At 49.3% G+C, this 16577-nt stretch overlaps 1 protein-coding gene and 1 long non-coding RNA gene across 5 annotated transcripts in view, besides 50 other annotated features; both read right to left on the bottom strand.

Moving 5' to 3' along the window:
- On the bottom strand, window positions 5016-10865 carry KLK3 (kallikrein related peptidase 3). Of its 3 annotated transcripts, none has more exons than NM_001030047.1 (5): window positions 10779-10865; window positions 9381-9540; window positions 7465-7751; window positions 7185-7321; window positions 5016-6250 (listed from the first exon to the last, which is right to left on the bottom strand). In NM_001030047.1, exons 1-5 carry the CDS (start codon window positions 10822-10824, stop codon window positions 6164-6166), a joined length of 717 nt encoding a protein of 238 aa, NP_001025218.1. In that variant the 5' UTR covers window positions 10825-10865; the 3' UTR covers window positions 5016-6163. The 3 variants fall into 3 exon arrangements, with proteins under 3 accessions (NP_001025218.1, NP_001639.1, NP_001025219.1); NM_001648.2 differs by having other exon boundaries at window positions 5016-5808; NM_001030048.1 differs by having other exon boundaries at window positions 5016-5808; window positions 7465-7622.
- Window positions 10828-11487: a promoter, noted in NCBI's record as "PCPSA 660 bp fragment". NCBI's record gives its function as "androgen-responsive promoter" and the evidence as "EXISTENCE:reporter gene assay evidence [ECO:0000049][PMID:1724287, PMID:8573614]".
- Window positions 10828-16577: part of a biological region, named in NCBI's record as "KLK3 upstream enhancer/promoter region", that runs on past the window's edge. NCBI's record gives its function as "regulatory_interactions: KLK3".
- Window positions 10854-11189: a promoter, noted in NCBI's record as "300 bp fragment". NCBI's record gives its function as "minimal androgen-responsive promoter" and the evidence as "EXISTENCE:reporter gene assay evidence [ECO:0000049][PMID:1724287]".
- Window positions 10854-11405: a promoter, noted in NCBI's record as "550 bp fragment". NCBI's record gives its function as "androgen-responsive promoter" and the evidence as "EXISTENCE:reporter gene assay evidence [ECO:0000049][PMID:1724287, PMID:8626436]".
- Window positions 10854-16577: part of a promoter, noted in NCBI's record as "6 kb HindIII fragment", that runs on past the window's edge. NCBI's record gives its function as "directs prostate specific expression" and the evidence as "EXISTENCE:transgenic organism evidence [ECO:0001131][PMID:9259317]".
- Window positions 10891-10954: a transcriptional cis regulatory region, noted in NCBI's record as "-100 construct sequence including B region". NCBI's record gives its function as "required for mitogen-activated protein kinase-stimulated promoter activity" and the evidence as "EXISTENCE:reporter gene assay evidence [ECO:0000049][PMID:12858361]".
- Window positions 10896-10937: a protein binding site, noted in NCBI's record as "Sp-A; -72/-31 probe; includes region R1 and region ii DNase I footprints and P2 site". NCBI's record gives the evidence for it as "EXISTENCE:nuclease protection assay evidence [ECO:0001106][PMID:1724287, PMID:11006269]" and "EXISTENCE:protein binding evidence [ECO:0000024][PMID:15708372]".
- Window positions 10899-11023: a transcriptional cis regulatory region, noted in NCBI's record as "pN/H region". NCBI's record gives its function as "positive regulator of promoter activity" and the evidence as "EXISTENCE:reporter gene assay evidence [ECO:0000049][PMID:11006269]".
- Window positions 10933-10974: a protein binding site, noted in NCBI's record as "Sp-B; -109/-68 probe". NCBI's record gives the evidence for it as "EXISTENCE:protein binding evidence [ECO:0000024][PMID:15708372]".
- Window positions 10966-11012: a protein binding site, noted in NCBI's record as "Sp-C; -147/-101 probe". NCBI's record gives the evidence for it as "EXISTENCE:protein binding evidence [ECO:0000024][PMID:15708372]".
- Window positions 11014-11043: a protein binding site, noted in NCBI's record as "ARE I". NCBI's record gives the evidence for it as "EXISTENCE:protein binding evidence [ECO:0000024][PMID:7514587, PMID:8626436, PMID:9013762]".
- Window positions 11017-11039: an enhancer, noted in NCBI's record as "ARE I". NCBI's record gives its function as "androgen-responsive enhancer" and the evidence as "EXISTENCE:reporter gene assay evidence [ECO:0000049][PMID:1724287, PMID:9013762, PMID:9070893]".
- Window positions 11044-11067: a protein binding site, noted in NCBI's record as "TRE (T3-responsive element)". NCBI's record gives the evidence for it as "EXISTENCE:protein binding evidence [ECO:0000024][PMID:11191079]".
- Window positions 11080-11480: a DNaseI hypersensitive site, noted in NCBI's record as "DHS IV; stimulated by androgen in LNCaP cells; the nucleotide coordinates are approximate for this feature". NCBI's record gives the evidence for it as "EXISTENCE:in vivo cleavage assay evidence [ECO:0001075][PMID:9013762]".
- Window positions 11121-11167: a protein binding site, noted in NCBI's record as "Sp-D; -302/-256 probe". NCBI's record gives the evidence for it as "EXISTENCE:protein binding evidence [ECO:0000024][PMID:15708372]".
- Window positions 11232-11266: an enhancer, noted in NCBI's record as "ARR (androgen response region); includes ARE III, ARE2S and region A". NCBI's record gives its function as "androgen-responsive enhancer" and the evidence as "EXISTENCE:reporter gene assay evidence [ECO:0000049][PMID:8626436, PMID:9013762, PMID:9224617]".
- Window positions 11241-11260: a protein binding site, noted in NCBI's record as "ARE II; also known as ARE2S and region A". NCBI's record gives the evidence for it as "EXISTENCE:protein binding evidence [ECO:0000024][PMID:8626436, PMID:9013762, PMID:9224617]".
- Window positions 12977-12988: a protein binding site, noted in NCBI's record as "PSA H". NCBI's record gives the evidence for it as "EXISTENCE:protein binding evidence [ECO:0000024][PMID:10625666]".
- Window positions 13022-13033: a protein binding site, noted in NCBI's record as "PSA G". NCBI's record gives the evidence for it as "EXISTENCE:protein binding evidence [ECO:0000024][PMID:10625666]".
- Window positions 14338-15748: a DNaseI hypersensitive site, noted in NCBI's record as "DHS I, II and III; stimulated by androgen in LNCaP cells; the nucleotide coordinates are approximate for this feature". NCBI's record gives the evidence for it as "EXISTENCE:in vivo cleavage assay evidence [ECO:0001075][PMID:9013762]".
- Window positions 14530-16114: an enhancer, noted in NCBI's record as "DEE (distal enhancer element)". NCBI's record gives its function as "androgen-responsive enhancer" and the evidence as "EXISTENCE:reporter gene assay evidence [ECO:0000049][PMID:8636136, PMID:11170135, PMID:12589022]".
- Window positions 14627-14638: a protein binding site, noted in NCBI's record as "PSA E". NCBI's record gives the evidence for it as "EXISTENCE:protein binding evidence [ECO:0000024][PMID:10625666]".
- The window catches only part of LOC105372441 (uncharacterized), a 20614-nt gene continuing 18673 nt past the window's right edge, over window positions 14637-16577 (bottom strand). For both annotated transcript variants that reach the window (NR_131205.1, NR_131203.1), the window contains exon 3: window positions 14637-14869. This is a non-coding gene — a long non-coding RNA (uncharacterized LOC105372441). The remainder of the gene's footprint in view (window positions 14870-16577) is intronic.
- Window positions 14676-15116: an enhancer, noted in NCBI's record as "AREc". NCBI's record gives its function as "androgen-responsive enhancer" and the evidence as "EXISTENCE:reporter gene assay evidence [ECO:0000049][PMID:9013762, PMID:11006269]".
- Window positions 14682-14707: a protein binding site, noted in NCBI's record as "ETS10 probe". NCBI's record gives the evidence for it as "EXISTENCE:protein binding evidence [ECO:0000024][PMID:19789348]".
- Window positions 14710-15310: an enhancer, noted in NCBI's record as "LTR40a". NCBI's record gives its function as "androgen-responsive enhancer" and the evidence as "EXISTENCE:reporter gene assay evidence [ECO:0000049][PMID:22597536]".
- Window positions 14711-15310: a mobile genetic element.
- Window positions 14714-14730: a silencer, noted in NCBI's record as "XBE". NCBI's record gives its function as "negatively regulates transcription" and the evidence as "EXISTENCE:reporter gene assay evidence [ECO:0000049][PMID:14715080]".
- Window positions 14714-14730: a protein binding site, noted in NCBI's record as "XBE". NCBI's record gives the evidence for it as "EXISTENCE:protein binding evidence [ECO:0000024][PMID:14715080]".
- Window positions 14727-15550: a promoter, noted in NCBI's record as "PSAR822 fragment". NCBI's record gives the evidence for it as "EXISTENCE:reporter gene assay evidence [ECO:0000049][PMID:9012480]".
- Window positions 14727-15550: an enhancer, noted in NCBI's record as "PSAR822 fragment". NCBI's record gives its function as "androgen-responsive enhancer" and the evidence as "EXISTENCE:reporter gene assay evidence [ECO:0000049][PMID:9012480]".
- Window positions 14737-14758: a protein binding site, noted in NCBI's record as "ARE IIIB DNase I footprint". NCBI's record gives the evidence for it as "EXISTENCE:nuclease protection assay evidence [ECO:0001106][PMID:10464314]".
- Window positions 14785-14817: a protein binding site, noted in NCBI's record as "ETS8/9 probe". NCBI's record gives the evidence for it as "EXISTENCE:protein binding evidence [ECO:0000024][PMID:19789348]".
- Window positions 14787-14892: a tandem repeat, noted in NCBI's record as "LTR40a internal Dup 2 region". NCBI's record gives the evidence for it as "COORDINATES:sequence similarity evidence [ECO:0000044][PMID:22597536]".
- Window positions 14797-14820: a protein binding site, noted in NCBI's record as "PSA2/HNF-3". NCBI's record gives the evidence for it as "EXISTENCE:protein binding evidence [ECO:0000024][PMID:12750453]".
- Window positions 14812-14838: a protein binding site, noted in NCBI's record as "ETS7 probe". NCBI's record gives the evidence for it as "EXISTENCE:protein binding evidence [ECO:0000024][PMID:19789348]".
- Window positions 14823-14849: a protein binding site, noted in NCBI's record as "Psa3.1; includes PSAe4045 probe". NCBI's record gives the evidence for it as "EXISTENCE:protein binding evidence [ECO:0000024][PMID:11000519, PMID:12782640]".
- Window positions 14843-14890: a protein binding site, noted in NCBI's record as "ETS6 probe". NCBI's record gives the evidence for it as "EXISTENCE:protein binding evidence [ECO:0000024][PMID:19789348]".
- Window positions 14853-14868: a protein binding site, noted in NCBI's record as "A3a binding site". NCBI's record gives the evidence for it as "EXISTENCE:protein binding evidence [ECO:0000024][PMID:11006269]".
- Window positions 14860-14882: a protein binding site, noted in NCBI's record as "ARE IIIA DNase I footprint". NCBI's record gives the evidence for it as "EXISTENCE:nuclease protection assay evidence [ECO:0001106][PMID:10464314]".
- Window positions 14862-14891: a protein binding site, noted in NCBI's record as "PSAe4085 probe". NCBI's record gives the evidence for it as "EXISTENCE:protein binding evidence [ECO:0000024][PMID:11000519]".
- Window positions 14893-14988: a tandem repeat, noted in NCBI's record as "LTR40a internal Dup 1 region". NCBI's record gives the evidence for it as "COORDINATES:sequence similarity evidence [ECO:0000044][PMID:22597536]".
- Window positions 14900-14914: a protein binding site, noted in NCBI's record as "PSA1/HNF-3; includes fp6 DNase I footprint". NCBI's record gives the evidence for it as "EXISTENCE:nuclease protection assay evidence [ECO:0001106][PMID:11170135]" and "EXISTENCE:protein binding evidence [ECO:0000024][PMID:12750453]".
- Window positions 14913-14950: a protein binding site, noted in NCBI's record as "ETS5 probe". NCBI's record gives the evidence for it as "EXISTENCE:protein binding evidence [ECO:0000024][PMID:19789348]".
- Window positions 14924-14946: a protein binding site, noted in NCBI's record as "ARE III DNase I footprint (PMID:10464314)". NCBI's record gives the evidence for it as "EXISTENCE:protein binding evidence [ECO:0000024][PMID:9013762, PMID:9070893, PMID:10464314, PMID:11006269]".
- Window positions 14926-14940: an enhancer, noted in NCBI's record as "ARE III". NCBI's record gives its function as "androgen-responsive enhancer" and the evidence as "EXISTENCE:reporter gene assay evidence [ECO:0000049][PMID:9013762, PMID:9070893]".
- Window positions 14960-14983: a protein binding site, noted in NCBI's record as "ARE IV DNase I footprint". NCBI's record gives the evidence for it as "EXISTENCE:nuclease protection assay evidence [ECO:0001106][PMID:10464314]".
- Window positions 14962-14991: a protein binding site, noted in NCBI's record as "PSAe4190 probe". NCBI's record gives the evidence for it as "EXISTENCE:protein binding evidence [ECO:0000024][PMID:11000519]".
- Window positions 15005-15029: a protein binding site, noted in NCBI's record as "ARE V DNase I footprint". NCBI's record gives the evidence for it as "EXISTENCE:nuclease protection assay evidence [ECO:0001106][PMID:10464314]".
- Window positions 15075-15105: a protein binding site, noted in NCBI's record as "ETS1 probe". NCBI's record gives the evidence for it as "EXISTENCE:protein binding evidence [ECO:0000024][PMID:19789348]".
- Window positions 15079-15101: a protein binding site, noted in NCBI's record as "ARE VI DNase I footprint". NCBI's record gives the evidence for it as "EXISTENCE:nuclease protection assay evidence [ECO:0001106][PMID:10464314]".

The raw sequence follows: 16577 nt of genomic DNA, 5'->3' as shown, positions 1-16577 counted from the left end.
TATGAATTCCTCTCTTCTCAAGGTCCCAAAATATCTTGAGGTTCTTGGACCTCTTAGAAAATGACATTCTTGGCTGGGCACAGTGGCTCACACCTGTAATCCCAGCACTTTGGGAGGCCAAGGCAGGCAGATCGTTTGAGGTCAGGAGTTTCAAACCAGCCTGGCCAACATGGCACAACCCCGTCTCTACTAAAAATACAAAAATTAGTCGGGCGTGGTGGCGGGCGCCTATAATCCCAGCTACTTGGAAGGCTGATGCAGGAGAATCAGTTGAACCCAGGAGGCAGAGGTTGCAGTGAGCCAAGATCGTGCCACTGCACTGCAGCCTGGGCAACAGAGCAATACTCCATCAAAAAAAAAAAAAAAGAAAGAGAGAAAGAAAGAGAAAGAAAGAAAGAAGGACAAAAAGAAAGAAAGAAAGAAAGAAAGAAAGAAAGAAAGAAAGAAAGAAAAGAAAGAAAGAAAGAGGGAAAGAAAAGAAAGAAAGAAAGAGGGAAAGAAAATGAGAGTAGACCTTTCACATATACAAAAGCTAACTCAAGATGCATTAAAAATGCAAATGTTTACATTCAGACTTTCAAAATTCTAGAAGAAAACCTAGGAAATACTCTTCTTGACCCAGACCTTGGCAAAGAGTTTATGACTAAGTCCCCAAAAGCAATTGCAACAAAAACAAAAATTGGCAGGTGGTTTCTAATTAAACTAAGATGCTTCGGCACAGCAAAAGAAGCCATCAATAGAGTAAACAGACAACCTACAGAATGGAAGAGAGTATTCACAAACTATGCATCCAATAAGAAGTCTAATATCCAGAATCTATAAGGAACTTAAACTAAAAAGCAAAAAATAATCCCATTAAAGTGGCCAAAAGGCATGAAGAGACACTTCTCAAAAGACGTACAAGCAGCCAACAAATATGAAAAAATGCTCATTGTCACTGATCATCAGAGAAATTCAAATGAAAACCACAATGAGATACCATTTCACGCCAGTCAGAGTGGCTATTATTAAAAAGTAAAAATTTGCTTAAGTTCCTTGTAGATTCTGGATATTCTTGACCTTTGTCAGATGAATAGATTGCAAAAATTTCCTCCCATTCTGTAGGTTGTCTGTTTGCCCTGTCAGGGTGAGGGTGGGGCAGTAGTGAGAGCATTAGGGAAAAGAGCTAATGCAGGCAGGGCTTCATACCCAGGTAATGGGTTGACAGGTGCAGCAAACCACCATGGCTCACGTTTACTACCTATGTAACAAACCTGCACATCCTGCACATGTACCCTGGGAAAACAACAACATATTCTTTTTTAAAATAAAGAAAAAAAAACCATGATGACAAAGCTGTGGAGAAAAGGGAATGCTTATATACTGTTCGTGGAAATGTAAATTAGTTTGTTCTCTATGGCAAACAGTTTGGAAAATTCTCAAAGAATTTTAAACAGAGCCACCGTTCAACCCAGCACTCCTATTAATGACTGTATACCCAAAGGAATGCAAATCATTATACCAAAAAGACACATTCATTCATATGTCTACTGCCACACTGCACACAATAGCAAAACTGTGGAATCCATGGAATCTACCTAGTTGCCCATCAATGGTGGATTGGTTAAAGAAAATGTGGTATATATGGGCCGGGCGCAGTGGCTCACCCCTGTAATCCCAGCACTTTGGGAGACCGAGGCAGGTGGACCACAAGGTCAGGAGATCAAGACCATCCTGGCTAACACAGTGAAACCCCCATCTCTACTAAAAACACACAAAAAAATTAGCCGGACGTGGTGGCGGGCGCCTGTAGTCCCAGCTACTTGGGAAGCTGAGACAGAAGAATGACGTGAACCCCGGAGGTGAAGCTTGCAGTGAGCCGAGATCGTGCTACTGCACTCCAGCCTAGGCAGCAAAGCAAGACTCCGTCTCAAAAAAAAAAAAGAAAGAAAATGTGATCTATACGCAATATGGAATACTGCATGGCCATGAAAAATGAATCATATCCTTTACAGCAATATGAATGGAGCTGGAAGCCATAATCCTAAGTGAATTAACACAGGGACAGAAAATCAAATACCACACGTTCTCACTTACAGGTGGGAGCTAAACCTGGAGCACACATAGACATAAACATGAGAACAATAGACACTGCACACTACTAGAATGGGGAGGAAAAGAGGGGGAGTGGGTTGAAAACCTACCTGTTGGGTAGTATGATCACTACCTGAGTTCAATATACCCATGTAACAATCCTATATATGTGCCCCCTGTATTTCAAATAGAAGCTGAAATTTAAAAATAAAAATAAAAAATAAATAAAGTGATTGGGCACGGTGGCTCATGCCTGTAATCCCAGCACTTTAGGAGGCCAAGGCAGGTGGATCACCTGATGTCAGGAGTTCAAGACCAGCCTGGCCAACATGGCAAAACCCCGTCTCTACAAAAAATACAAAAATTAGCCGGGTGTGGTGGCACGCACCTGTAATCCCAGCTACTCGGGAGGCTGAGGTAAGAAAATCACTTGAACAGAGGAGGCAGAGGTTGCAGTGAGTGGTATCGCACTATTGCACTCCAGCCTAGGAGACAGAGCGAGGCTCCATCTCAAAACTAAATAAATATATAAATAAATAAAGTGAGGAGACCATTTTACACTCGCTTAAGCGATGTATGACAATAGTGTATTATCTAGAAAAGGCTACAGCTGCACACTACCAAACTGTTGGGATGAATTTATATTCTAGGTTCTGCATTCTTTCCCGCCAATATTTCTGCCATCCTTTCTCTCTAGGACTTTTAACATTTAAGCTTTGCCAATAATATTTCTAACTTTCATCTGGCTTCTTGGCTTTTCCATCTTCCTCTTCAATGGCACGGTATGAATCCTTTGATGTGAGGTCTTTCAAATATTTTAAAATCCATCAAACATGTCTCTACTATTTATTCACATATTTCCTCCTTTCCTATTCTTTTCTCCTCCTGAGGCTTTAATGTTATTGACTGTACTTCTAACACTCACATGGTTTAGCAATTCCTTAAAATTTTTCTGTCTCTGTCCTTCAATCTGGTCTAAAAAGTCACTATTACGTTCTTCACCTCTTTTACATTCTGCTACTCATGCATATTTTTTTTTACTTCTTTCAACTATTATACTTTTCCTACCTAATATTTCACCTTCGTCCTATTTTATATATTTTCTCATTCAATGTACCTAATATCTTCTGTAATCTCTTCTAGTATGCTAATTAGATTAACTTGTAATTAAATACAATATCAATTGGATTTGTAAAAACAATTTCTATGCAACCATAAAAAAGAATAAGATCACGTCCTTTGCAGGAACATGGATGGAGGTGGAAGCCATTATCCTCAGCAAACTAACACAGAAACAGAAAACCAAACACCACATGTTCTCACTTATAAGTGGGAGCTGAACAATGAGAACACATGGACACAGGGAGGGGAACAACACACACTGGGGCCTGTTGTGGGAGTCAGGGAGAGGGAGAGCGTCAGGAAAAACAGCTAATGCATGCTGGGCTTAATACCTAGGTGATGGGTTGATAGGTACAGCAAACCACCATGGCACATGTTTACCTATGTAACAAAGCTGCACGTCCTGCACATGTAGCCCAGAACTTAAGATAAAATAAAGTAAAATTTAATTTAATTTAATTTAATTTAATTTAATTTAATTTAAAACAGTCGCTTGTTTTAATTTAATTTAATTTAAATAGTTCCAAGACCCCCTGGATCACAAGACCAAACCAGACCTCCAGGAACTTTCCTCCTCCCCTCCTTTCCCTCACCCCCTGTACAGAAACAAATATATCTTCACACCCATGCAGTATAAAGTTGAAAAATAAGATTTCATTTTATTTGCTGCCTCAGTACTTGTACCCTAAAGGGTCTCAAAGGCTTCTATTGCCAGATATGTCCCCCCTACAATGGGAAAGGCCCCCACCTGGCTATTTCCTTTATCAGTTGGGGCAGCCGCCCTCCACAGGTCCTCACCGTAATGGGTTTTATTCCCTGCCAGCTTGAAAAATTTGTAACAGGACCATCACATTCCCCCATGGGAATCAGAGTTCACCCTGCCCTCTTGTTACTACAAAGCCCACCTCCCACAGTCCTTGCTTCTTCAAGCCAATCGTGAGCGCAATTCCCATGTCATTCTGCCTGGTGTACAGTGTCCTCCTGCCCTAGGCTGTGAATCTCTGTGGCTGAGAAACTCTTGTCGAGCTCATATCTCCAGTGCTATGTGTTGGGTGTTCAGACATCTTCATAACCTCAGGGTGGGAATTCCTCCAGCACCAATGTTGTGAAGAGAAGACAAATAAACCAATCACTGTATCCCCTTTGAGTTCAGTGTCCTTCCTCAACCTTCCCCTATTTCTGAATTCCTCCTTCTTGGGATAGCCCCATGGTCCACTTGGCCACAAGACAGAACCAGATCCCTAGGCGGTTTCCTCATCTTCTCCCTTTCCCTCACCCCCCTGTACAGTAAAAGGTTGACTCAGCAGCCCTGCACTGCTCAAAGCCTGAACGTTCCAAGTACAGGGCTCACCCTTGAATAACTCCTGGGAGATGACATTTAATCCCTTGGAACATTCGGCCCAAGTGCCTTGGTATACCTGGGGCCTTGGGCCGTGCCAGATGATTCATGCTAACAGTGCGATTCATGATGAATGCCTGTTTTTGTACATCTGAGGCTCTAGGCCATGCTGTATCTGCTTGAACTCTTGGGAACCTCAGGTCTGAGAAGTTAAGGTCAGCTATTCCAGTACTCCATGCCTATCCTACAGACCCCCAATAAAAACTCTGGACACTAAGGCTCAGGTGAGCTTCCTTAGTTGGAAATACTTCATACACAAGGTCACACATCACTTCTGTGTGATTTAAGTGCTGTCCACAACACCCCACTGGGAGAAAACAACTGAAAGATTTTCCCTGTTTTCTTCACATCCCCACTTAGATGCCTGTTTCCTTTGCTGATTTCAGTGTGTCTCCTGTCAATGTAACAAACCAGAATAAACCACAGTATAACAGCTCTTTATTTCTGTGAGTTCTACTAGGAAATCATCAAATCTGAGGGTTGTCTGGAGGACTTCAATACACCTCCCCCCATAGTGAATCAGCTTCCAGGGGGTCCAGTCCCTCTCCTTACTTCATCCCCATCCCATGCCAAAGGAAGACCCTCCCTCCTTGGCTCACAGCCTTCTCTAGGCTTCCCAGTGCCTCCAGGACAGAGTGGGTTATGTTTTCAGCTCCATCCTTGCTGTGAGTGTCTGGTGCGTTGTGCCTCCAGCTTCTGCTCAGTGCTTCATGGACAGTGTCCAGCACATGTCACTCTCCACTCTCTCAGTGTGGATCCCACCCCTCTTTCATCTCTGTACCCCACAAATAACACAGACACCCCATCCTATCTGTGTCCTCAGAGAAATTGAGTGATATGTCTCCAGGCATGGCCAGTATTCCCCAGGACACAGAGAGGACAAAATTACACCATTTAAGAAACACTCTGGTCTACACCTGTGTCTGCTGATTTCTTTTCCTAGCAACCCTGGACCTCACACCTAAGGACAAAGGTCAGTAGAACTGGGGAGGCTTGAGTCTTGGCCTGGTCATTTCCAAGGTTCCAAGTTTACTACAATAGGGGGTTGATAGGGGTGCTCAGGGGTTGGCCACGATGGTGTCCTTGATCCACTTCCGGTAATGCACCACCTTGGTGTACAGGGAAGGCCTTTCGGGCAGGGCACATGGTTCACTGCCCCATGACGTGATACCTTGAAGCACACCATTACAGACAAGTGGGCCCCCAGAATCACCCTAAGGGTAAAAGCAGGGAGAGAGTGAGATAGGTCAGTCCCAGTTTCTGCCTGGGCAATCCTATCTTTCAGACCTGGACAGGCAGATAACAGATAGCAGTTCCCAGCTTTGGAAGAAGAGAGAAATGTCTCCAGAGCCGACTTCCAGAAGAAGGTGGGCAGGGATTCCAACAGAGGGGTAGGGGCTCCAGTCCTGGCCGGTGGGGAAGGGACTTCAGGGTCCAGCTCCTGTGCAGAGGGGAGGGTCCACGAGGACAGTCCTTGTAGACAGGTCGGTGGGACAAGGGCCAGGACCATCTGCAGGATGCTGTCCCCGTGGCTCCTCACAGAGGCCACCTTCCAGGACTACTCTCTGACTAGACACCTCCTCTCCAGGGCACTAGGGAGCCATGGAGGACCATCGGCAGGGCTGGCATGGTCAGTTCGGTGATCAGAATGACCCACTGTGGGTAGGTGGAGAATGGAGTGGAGGGGAGAGACTGAGGGCCAGGAGCCTGTGAGGGAGGCTGGGTAAGGGCCCAGGTGGGGACAATGCCTGGAGCCACCCCCAGGTCAGCCCCATCATCACTCCCTCCACATCCCTGCTGCCCTCCCTCCCTGCAGTCTGATCCCATAGGGAGGCCAGCGGCAGCCTCTGGACACCTGAGCCAGGCCCTGTCCTGCTTCTGTCCAGCACCATCCACAGTTCCTGACTCCTCAGAGGAAAAGCAGTGTCCTCCTGTGGCCCAGGTGAGGCCCTGCAGGAGGGGTCCTTTCTTCCCTCTCGCACCCTGCCCCGATCCTTCACTCCAGCCAGGCAACCTCCTCTCTGCTCCTGACGCCCTCTAGGCCCCTCCTCCCAGGCCTGGCCAGATGCTGTTCCCTCTGCTCCCCCAGGTGCCGCAGGGCCCTCCCCTCCCCTGCGGCAGGTGTTTGCTCACTCCCGCCTTCTGCAGGATGTCTCCTCCCAGTCACACTCCCCACCCCTTCTCCCTCCCCGAGAGCCTGATCACCTCCTGACACCCTCCAGCTTTTCTGTGTTGTGGTCCCTGTTCCTGCCTGTGCCCCTCACTGGCTTGGGGGCTACAGAAGGGAGGGGCTGCTCTCTGTCTGTTCACTGCTATGTCCCAGGCTCTAGGGCAGTGCTGGGTGCATAGCAGGTGCCTAGTAACCGTGTGCTGAACGCAGGAACAGATGAGTTGTGCTGTAAGAATAACCTATTGCCTTGAGGGAGTCAAAGAAGAGGGAAGGAGGGAATGAGATGAGACACGGGGAGGTGGCATGGCTACAGCTGGGGAGCAGGGGAGGCAGACGCCTTGTTGGCTTCTAGACCCCAGCCCAGAATTAAGGTCCCCACTCACCTTTCCCCTCAAGATCTTGGGAGTAGGGATGACTCACCGAGCAGGTGCTTTTGCCCCCTGTCCAGCGTCCAGCACACAGCATGAACTTGGTCACCTTCTGAGGGTGAACTTGCGCACACACGTCATTGGAAATAACATGGAGGTCCACACACTGAAGTTTCTTTGGGGTCAAGACTACGGGCCAGGCAAAAACACTGTTGTGGGCTGGACCCCACCTGGTTCCTTGGCCCTCCTCCCTCAGACCTAGGAGTCCTGTCCCCTCCTCCCTCAGACCCAGGCATCTGGGCTCCCGGCTGCACCATCTGGCCCAGGCGTACACTCCTCTGGTTCAATGCTGCCCCAGCCTGAGGCGTAGCAGGTGGTCCCCAGTGCTGGCTCCTGGGTGGGCAGGTCCATGACCTTCACAGCATCCGTGAGCTCGGCAGGCTCTGACAGGCGGAGCAGCATGAGGTCGTGGCTGGAGTCATCACCTGGCCTGAGGAATCGATTCTTCAGGAGGCTCATATCGTAGAGCGGGTGTGGGAAGCTGTGGCTGACCTGAAATACCTGGCCTGTGTCTTCAGGATGAAACAGGCTGTGCCGACCCAGCAAGATCACGCTTTTGCTGGGGAGGAAGCAGACGCAGGAATGAGGAGCGAGGATGATAAGGAAAGAGAGAAGGGACAGAGGAGCAAGGAGGAGGCTCCAAAAGAGAAAAAGAAACAGTGAGAAAAACACAGGGTTGGGGAAGACACAGTTCAGGCCAAAAATACAGACAACGAGTTGGGAAACAGCAGTGTGAGAGGGTGAAGGGCAGATACAGAAACTGAGAGAAACCAAGGGAAAAAGGAAGAGGGTAAAAGGACAGAGAGAATGAAAGGGCAGAGGGGAGAACAGTGACAAACAAGGTGAGCCGAAAATACACAGGATGAGAAAGAAAAGACAGAAACATAGAGAAACAGACATGGGCCAGAGAAAGAGAGAGAGAAGAACAAAACCAGGCAGAAAGTGAGAAACAGATGAATGAGAAAGGGAAGCAGGAAGTCAAAGGAAGAATGAGAACCAAGTAGAGAGGAATCCGGGGGATGATAGAGTGTGGGAGAGAAAAGGGAGAGAGACTTTGGAGCTGAGTGGGGACCGCTGGGGAGGGGAGGCCTCAGAGTGGCTCAGCTGTAGATGCGGCTTTGGCGTGGGTTTCCAAGTGGGTAGGTAGCCTGGCCTGCAGGCCCAAGGTTGTATCCTCCACTTCGCTCCCCAGGGTCCTTTCCCCCATACCCTGTTTTCCTTCCCCCTTCTCCTTCCTCCTCCCTCAATTGCCCCTCCCAGCTCCAGCTGGAACCAGCCCTTCTCTGTGTCTCCCAAGAGTGGAGGGATGTCCTGGAGAAGGAATGGAGTGAGAGGGGCCCTCTCATACCCTCATACCCACACACATCAGGGATAAAACACTTCCTTTTCTTTTCTTTTCTTTTCTTTTTTTTTTTTTTTTTTTTTGAGGCGGAGTCTCACTCTGTCACCCAGGCTGGAGTGCAGTGGCACGGTCTCGGCTCACTGCAACCTCCACCTCCCAGGTTCAAGCAATTCTCCTCCCTCAGCCTCCTGAGTAGCTGGGACTACAGGCATGCGCCACCACGCCTGGCTAATTTTTTGTATTTTTAGTAGAGATGGGGTTTCACCAGTTGGCCAGGCTGGTCTCGAACTCCTGACCTCAGGTGATCTACCTGCCTTGGCCTCCCAAAGTGCTGGGATTACAGGTGTGAGCCACCGCGCCCAGCCAAAGCCCTTCCTTTTCTCAGGGTCCCCCCAGGCCCATCCCATGCGTGTGCTCAGTAGGGAGAAGGCACAGGTGAGACAGAGACCGAGAGACAGAGCCTGGCAGAGAGATACAGGGTGAGACACACTGGCTAGAGAGGGACCAGAGAAGGACAGAGAGAGGGGGAGATATGGAGACTGAAGACAGAGAAGAGAGGGAGAGAGAGAACAAAATAGTCACACGGAGAGACACAACCGAAGCCAGTTACCAAGAGACATAATGAAAGCGACACAAAGAGACATAGAGGAACACAGATGGAGACCCAGGCAGCCATGGGGAGGGTGGTCCAGCCCCAACCCTGCCTCCCCATGTGACCTGAACCAGAACTTTCCCTCTCTCCCCCAGTCCCAAGGCTGGCCTTAGAGGTTATCCTGGGGAAAATGCCCAGCTGTTATTCCTCTGGGACACAGACACCTGCTCCCCAGACCCCAGGCCCCTACTCACTTCCTGATGCAGTGGGCAGCTGTGAGGACCCACTGGGGGTGCACCAGAACACCGCCGCAGACTGCCCTGCCACGAGAGGCCACAAGCACCTGCCAGGGTTGGGAATGCTTCTCGCACTCCCAGCCTCCCACAATCCGAGACAGGATGAGGGGTGCAGCACCTGCAGAGGGGGTGCTAGATCAGGGGAATCAGGGTTGACAGGAGGAACTGGGGGACTCGGATAGGAGATGGATTTAGGATGTGGGTTTGAAAAGACACGGGGGCAGAGAACCAAGGCTGGGAGTCCTGGGACATGGGCAGGGGGAGCTGGGAAAGGCTGGGAATTCTGTCAATCTTCCCTAGGTTTGCAGGTTGGTGGCTGGTGCTGGTGGAGAGGCTTCATGCTCTGGGAGCAGAGTTGAACCCAGGGATCAGGGTAGGAGACACAAGACAGCGCCCAGACCATATCTTGAGTCTGGGGATTGGGTCCTTTGTGGTGATTTGGGGTCTTGGACTGGGAGAAGGGAAACTTGGTACAAGTTGTGGATTCTGAGGGGATAAGCGGTGCTAGGAACCAGGGATAAGTGCCTTATGGCGAGGTTCAGTTGCTGGAAGAGGAAGGTTTTGGAAAGTTTAGGAAGTCCCAGGTTGAGAAAACAGTTCTGGTCTGAGTTGGTTTTGTTTTATTTGTTTTTCTTTTTGTTTTTAGGTTTTGAAAAGGATGCAGATTTGGGGAATCAGAGAGCTGGCAGTTGTGGCTGGGGATGCTCATGTTTTTCCTAAGGAAAATGTGGGCCACTGAATGAAGAGTCTGGGGCTAAGAGTCAGGGAATGAGGAGTTCTCAGAGTCCCATTGCCAGACTGAGGGACCCATTTGTTGTCTCAGGCCAGATAGCCTGGCTAGGAAGAAGGAGGTGTCTGGTTGGCATCTGGGTATCCTAGGGCAAGATTGGGAGGCCAAGCATCAAGGTCTCTGGGATAGGGTTGGGCACTCACAGCTGAATGGGAAAAGTCAGTAGACTGTGATAGGATTGAGGGGCTCAGGAGGTGGACCAGTGATACGGTCCAAGGAACCAATGGCATTGAGAGAGGTCCTTGGAGGTTTTGAGCCCCACAAAGAGAAACACGGAGATGCCCAGGAACTTCCCCTTTAGTAAAGCAGCTGGGAGCAGGGAGCTGGCTGGGCAATGGGGAGAAAGTTCTGGGGTAAGTGGGAGGGAGCGGGGACCTGGTGTGGGAGTGAGGACTGTTGCAATATGGAGGGGCTGGGGGTATGGGCTTGGAGTGGGGCTGGGAGAGACAGAAAAGAGCCCAGCTCCCTGTCTGGGCTGGGGTGCTGGGTTGGGGGGGAAAGAGCCTCAGCTTGACAGTCAGGGCTGGCTCCCTCTCCTGCATCCCCCCAACCATGGCCCCTCTCACCAATCCACGTCACGGACAGGGTGAGGAAGACAACCGGGACCCACATGGTGACACAGCTCTCCGGGTGCAGGTGGTAAGCTTGGGGCTGGGGAGCCTCCCCCAGGAGCCCTATAAAACCTTCATTCCCCAGGACTCCGCCCCTGCCCTGCTGGCACCCAGAGGCTGACCAAGGCCCTCCCCATGCTGCTGGAGGCTGGACAACCCCCTCCCACACCCAGAGCTGTGGAAGGGGAGGGAGAGCTAGCACTTGCTGTTCTGCAATTACTAGATCACCCTGGATGCACCAGGCCCTGTAGCTCATGGAGACTTCATCTAGGGGACAAAGGCAGAGGAGACACGCCCAGGATGAAACAGAAACAGGGGGTGGGTACGATCCCCGATTCTTCATACAAAGCCTCACGTGCCTAGATCCTTTGCACTCCAAGACCCAGTGTGCCCTAAGACACCAGCACTCAGGAGATTGTGAGACTCCCTGATCCCTGCACCACTCTGAGACCAGAAACTAGAACTTTTATTCCTCATGCTCCTGAAATAGATGTCTTGGCATTTAGTACATTCTTTTCCTTGCACTCCCAACCCAGAATCCAGCTCCACAGATACATTGCTACTGTCATCATAAAAAGATCTTGTGGTCCACAGATCCTCTAGCCCAGAAATATGAGTCTCCCAAAGTTCCCTAGCATTTCAAAATCCAACGTGCAGCAAACAATGTGGAATTCCAATAACCCCCCACTCCTTGTTCTCCAGACCTGTGCACTCTATCTGTGCAACAGAGATGCCTGCTGACCTGCCCTCCCAGGTCAGAATCATCCTCATGCAAAATCCAATGCCCCTTCTCCAACAAAATATTTAGCCTTTAGGAGCCAGGTTTATGTACCTCAAGATTAAACGACAGGTCAGTCATGGTGGCTCACGCCTGTAATCCCAACACTTTCCGAGGCCAAGGTAGGAGGATCACTTGAAGCCAGGAGTTCAAGGCCAACCAGAGAAACAAAGCAAGATCCATCTCTACAAAAAAAAAAAAAAAATTTTTTTTTTTTGAGACAGAGTCTCACTCTGTCACCCAGGCTGGAGTGCAGTGGCGCAATCTCGGCTCATTGCAACCTCTGCCTTCTGGGTTCAAGTGATTCTCCTGCCTCAGCCTCCTCAGTAGCTGGGATTACAGGTGCCGTGTGCCACCACGCCCGGCTAATTTTTCTATTTTTTTTTTTTTTAGTAGAGACAGAGTTTCACCATGTTGGTCAGGCTGGTCTCAAACTCCTGACCTCGTGATCCACCCATCTCAGCCTCCCATGGTGTTGGGATTACAGGCGTGAGCCACTGTGCCCGGCCCCCCAAAAAATTTAAAAATTATCTGGATATGGTGGTGGACTACTGTAGTCTTAGCTATTGGGAGACCGAAGCAGGAGAATCTCTTAAGGCCAGGAGTTCAAGGCTACAGTGAGCTGTGATCACGCCATTGAACTCCAGCCTGGGAAATAGAATGAGACTGAAACCTCGATTTAAAAAAAAAAAAAAAAAGATTAAGGTGGCATGCAAAATCACAATTTGTAGTCTCAGAAGAGAATCGGGAACTCTTAAGAGCCCTGGTACCTCCACTGTTAACTCCGTAAGATTTCATCAATTTCCAAAAAGTTGGTTATTTCAGCTGTTCAATAAAACCAGAGTAGCTCACTTGATCCAGCCCGAGCTGTGTCTCAAGAATTTGACAAAAGTGGCTGGGCGCGGTGGCTGACGCCTGTAATCCCAGCACTTTGGGAGGCTGAGGCAGGTGGATCACCAGGTCAGGAGTTCGAGGCCAGCCTGGCAAACATTGGTGAAACCCCATCTCTACTAAAAATACAAAAATTAGCTGGGCATGGTGCTGCATGCCTGTAATCCCAGCAACTCAGGAGGCTGAGGCAGGAGAATCACTTGAACCTGGGAGGCAGAGGTTGCAGTGAGCCGAGACTGCGCCACTGCACTCCAGCCTGGGCAACAGAGTGAGACTCTGTCTCAAAAAAAAAAAAAAAAAAAAAAAGAATTTGATAAAATCTTCCCCTGTTTCTAGTTGAGTGATCAGGTAAACTCCAAGCACAGTGAGGGAGACAGAGGTGGATATAGATAATCACAATTTAAGACCATCTTAGAGCTGGAGTGGAAGGATATACTTAGCCAGTGGCCTGACCTCCCCTACACGTGAATTAAGGCTTCCCCGGATTCATCCTGGAAAGGAAGTTTGTCTCCACTCCAGTGAGAACCTCATGGATCCGGTGTCCCCAAGCATATCCTCAACTCATCCTCAACCAAAACCTGACCCAACCCAATTTAATACAAACCAATCCAACTGCATTATACACAGCCCCGACCCCATCAACCCAACGCAACTTAACCTAACAAGCCAACCCTTATGTCTTCCCCCATTGTTTGATTCCCCATCAAACAAAACTCATGGCCACTGTCAAATCTGACAGCTACTTCCACGTCTTCTACCTCCAAAATCAAACCCAGCTTCATCCCCAGTTCAATCCCCAAGGATGTCTGAGCCAACATCAAAACAAATCTATTTCCATCCCAAAGCCATGCCATCCCAAACCACCTCCACAGTGTCAATCCCAAACTCATCCGAAGCACAATTTTACCCCATCTCTAACCCAACTCCAATCTGATCCTCCATCCTAACTGGTCTTCATACTCCACTCTCAATCCTATACCCAGCACTTTATCTAACCAAAGAAAACCAAATACAACCACATCCCCGTTCTCAAGCCTGTCCATTGCCTCCTCCCCACCCATGATGATGCTCCCTTGGCTGTGACCTCACAGGAGTCCGTGCCTCCACCCCCTACTCCTGTACACACCATGGTGTTCATCAGGGCCCTGGGTAGTCCCTTTTACAAGATGTGGTGGAGATAAGGCTGATGCTGGCACAGTGCCTCGTATCTGGGAGACTCACTTGGGAGAGCAATAGACTTGGGGAAAACCCATAAGTTCAGGTCCCTGTGCCCTCCACCCAGAAGCCCTTGAGATTTCATGGATGGTGACATATGGCCATTCTCTAGCACTTTTGAGTCCTGGATCCCTATGATTCCAGGCTCCCTGTCTGACACTAGGCCTCAGCCTGGCACCATGCAGGCCACTCCCACCAGAGGAGGATGTCGGCAGCTCTACGGTTGGCAGGTGGCTGGAGAGGCACGCTGCAGGGATAGTCACAGCAACATGACGTCATGGTGCTGGCCACACCCTCAGAGTGTGGATGCTGGATGATGAGTGGATGACACCCAAGGCCTCTGGGGCATCTTTCATGCTCAGATTGTGCTTGCCCAGGGGCACCTTCATGGAGCTAGAAGGGCTGGTGATACCCTCAAGTGGAGTAAGGATTAGGTGGCAAGATGGAAGAATGGGCAACCCTCGATCCTCAGACTCTTGAGGAATCAAGAGATCCCATTACTATCACCCCAAACCCTGGACCTAATGGTTCCAGCCTCTGCCCTTCAGGGGCCAAAGAGCCTTAAGCCACAAATATACCCAGAACTCTACCCCTCAGGATTCCAGCACCTTCTTCCTGAGGATATGAGATTCTTAGGCCATTCCCACATCAGTACCTCGGGAGCTGGGACCTTACCAGTCTCCTCCCTCATTGACCTAAGAGTTCGGAACTGACACTTTCCCTCCCCCAGTTCCTTCACATCCAGCCTCTTCCTCCTTTGAAATTCAAGAGGGTGGACCCACTCCTCACTCAAACCCAGAAGTTCTGATCCCCAGCCATGCCCCTTCGGGATCCTGAGCGCTGCCTTATTCTGGGTTTGGCAGTGGAGTGCTGCCAGACACAGTCGATCGGGACCTAGAACCTTGGTTAGGCATAAATAAGCAGGATGTGACAGAAGAAGTATTTAATGGTGGAACGTTGAGACTGTCCTGCAGACAAGGGTGGAAGGCTCTGGCTGAACAGTGTTGGGAGGCAATTCTCCATGGTTCTGTCACGTATCTGTGTGTCTTCTGAGCAAAGACAGCAACACCTTTTTTTTTCTGGATTGTTGTTTCAAGGATGTTTGTAAAGCAGGCATCCTTGCAAGATGATATCTCTCTCAGATCCAGGCTTGCTTACTGTCCTAGATAATAAAGATAATGTCTCTTACAACAGATTTGTTTACTGTCAAGGACAATCGATACAATATGTTCCTCCAGAGTAGGTCTGTTTTCAATCCAAGATCATGAAGATAATATCTTCATCAGAGACAAAGGCTGAGCAGGTTTGCAAGTTGTCCCAGTATAAGATTGAGGATTCCTAATCTCAGGTTTCTCACCAGTGGCACAAACCCCGTGTGCACAGCATCCACCTAGACTGCTCTGGTCACCCTACAAGATTTGGGGGGGGCAAGGTGTACTAATGTGAACATGAACCTCATGCTGTCTGCTAAGCTGTGAGCAGTAAAAGCCTTTGCCTCTGACTCAGGAGTCTCATGGACTCTGCCAGCATTCACAAAACTCTGGAAAGTTAGCTTATTTGTTTGCAAGTCAGTAAAATGTCAGCCCCTTCAGAGTTACTGACAAACAGGTGGGCACTGAGACTGCACTGGCCAGCTGGGAATAGAGATAGGAGGGGACCCAGCTGGATGCAGTGGGCAGTGGGGGTCATAGAGTCAAGAGGGTACAGAATACAATGGGGTCCTAGTATCATGGTGGAGGTCAGAAAGAGCCCTAAAAGAGAGGGTCAAGGTAGGAGGTTAGTGAAGGTCCACCTCCACCCTCTCCAGGACAGGGACATCAGGCCACAATTAATTTCTCTGCAGTTGGTGAGTGGTCATGGTCTCTGGAGTCCCCAGCATCCAGAGTGTCCCTGGTCTAGTGGTCCCCCCTTTCTGAGCCACAGCCAGTTTCTCCATCAAATGAGGCCAGTAATACCCATCCCATAGTGATGCTGTGAGGATGAGATGAGCATCTGTAAGTGCTGAAGATAATCCCTGACACATCCCAGCCATTCAGCAGTGCAAGCATACACTTACACGGCACTCCCCAGAGCCAGGCATGTGCTGGTGCCTCATACACGTGACCACATTTGATCGTCACAATGACCCTGTGAGGGAGACTGTGCAACAGAGGACTGACCTTGCTCAAAGACCTCAGGCGTTTCCCCTCAGAGCCTGAGAGGTCATCTCTTTTTTTTTTTTTTTTTCCTTTCTTTCTTTTTCTTTTCCATTTCTTTTTCTTTGCAAGAGGTCATCTCTAATGCTTTGGAATATCCTGCCAGTTTAGAGTGCCTTTGTTCACCTGAAGGTTTGGGCCACACCAGATAGTCTAACGGTGTGATTTGTGCTGAAGGTTTTGAGCCACACTATATCAGCTAGATTTCTAGAGGGGCTGGATACTAAAAGTCAACCATGAAGACAGTCAACATGTCTGTGTGATGGAGCCCCCCAAAAAATCTCTGGATATCGGCCAGGCGCAGTGGCTCACGCCTGTAATCCCAGCACTTTGGGAGGCCAAGGTGGGCAGATCACGAGGTCAGGAGACTGAGACCATCCTGGCTAACACAGTGAAACCCCATCTCTACTAAAAATACAAAAAAATTAGCCAGGCGTGGTGGCGGGTGCCTGTAGTCCCAGCTACTCAGGAGGCTGAGGCAGGAGAATGGCGTGAACCCAGGAGGCGGAGCTTGCAGTGAGCCAAGGTTGCACCACTGCACTCCAGCCTGGGCACAGAGCGAGACTCAGTCTCAGAAAAAAACACAAAAATCTCTGGACATCAAGGCTCAGTTGAGTTCCCTGGATGGCAATACACTGTGAATATTGTCACAGATCATTGCTTAGAGATGCTAGT

The sequence above is a fragment of the Homo sapiens genome, chromosome 19, assembly GCF_000001405.40.
Source record: "Homo sapiens chromosome 19, GRCh38.p14 Primary Assembly".
Lineage (NCBI taxonomy): Eukaryota > Metazoa > Chordata > Mammalia > Primates > Hominidae > Homo > Homo sapiens.
This window is presented reverse-complemented; position numbering and strand designations above follow the sequence as displayed.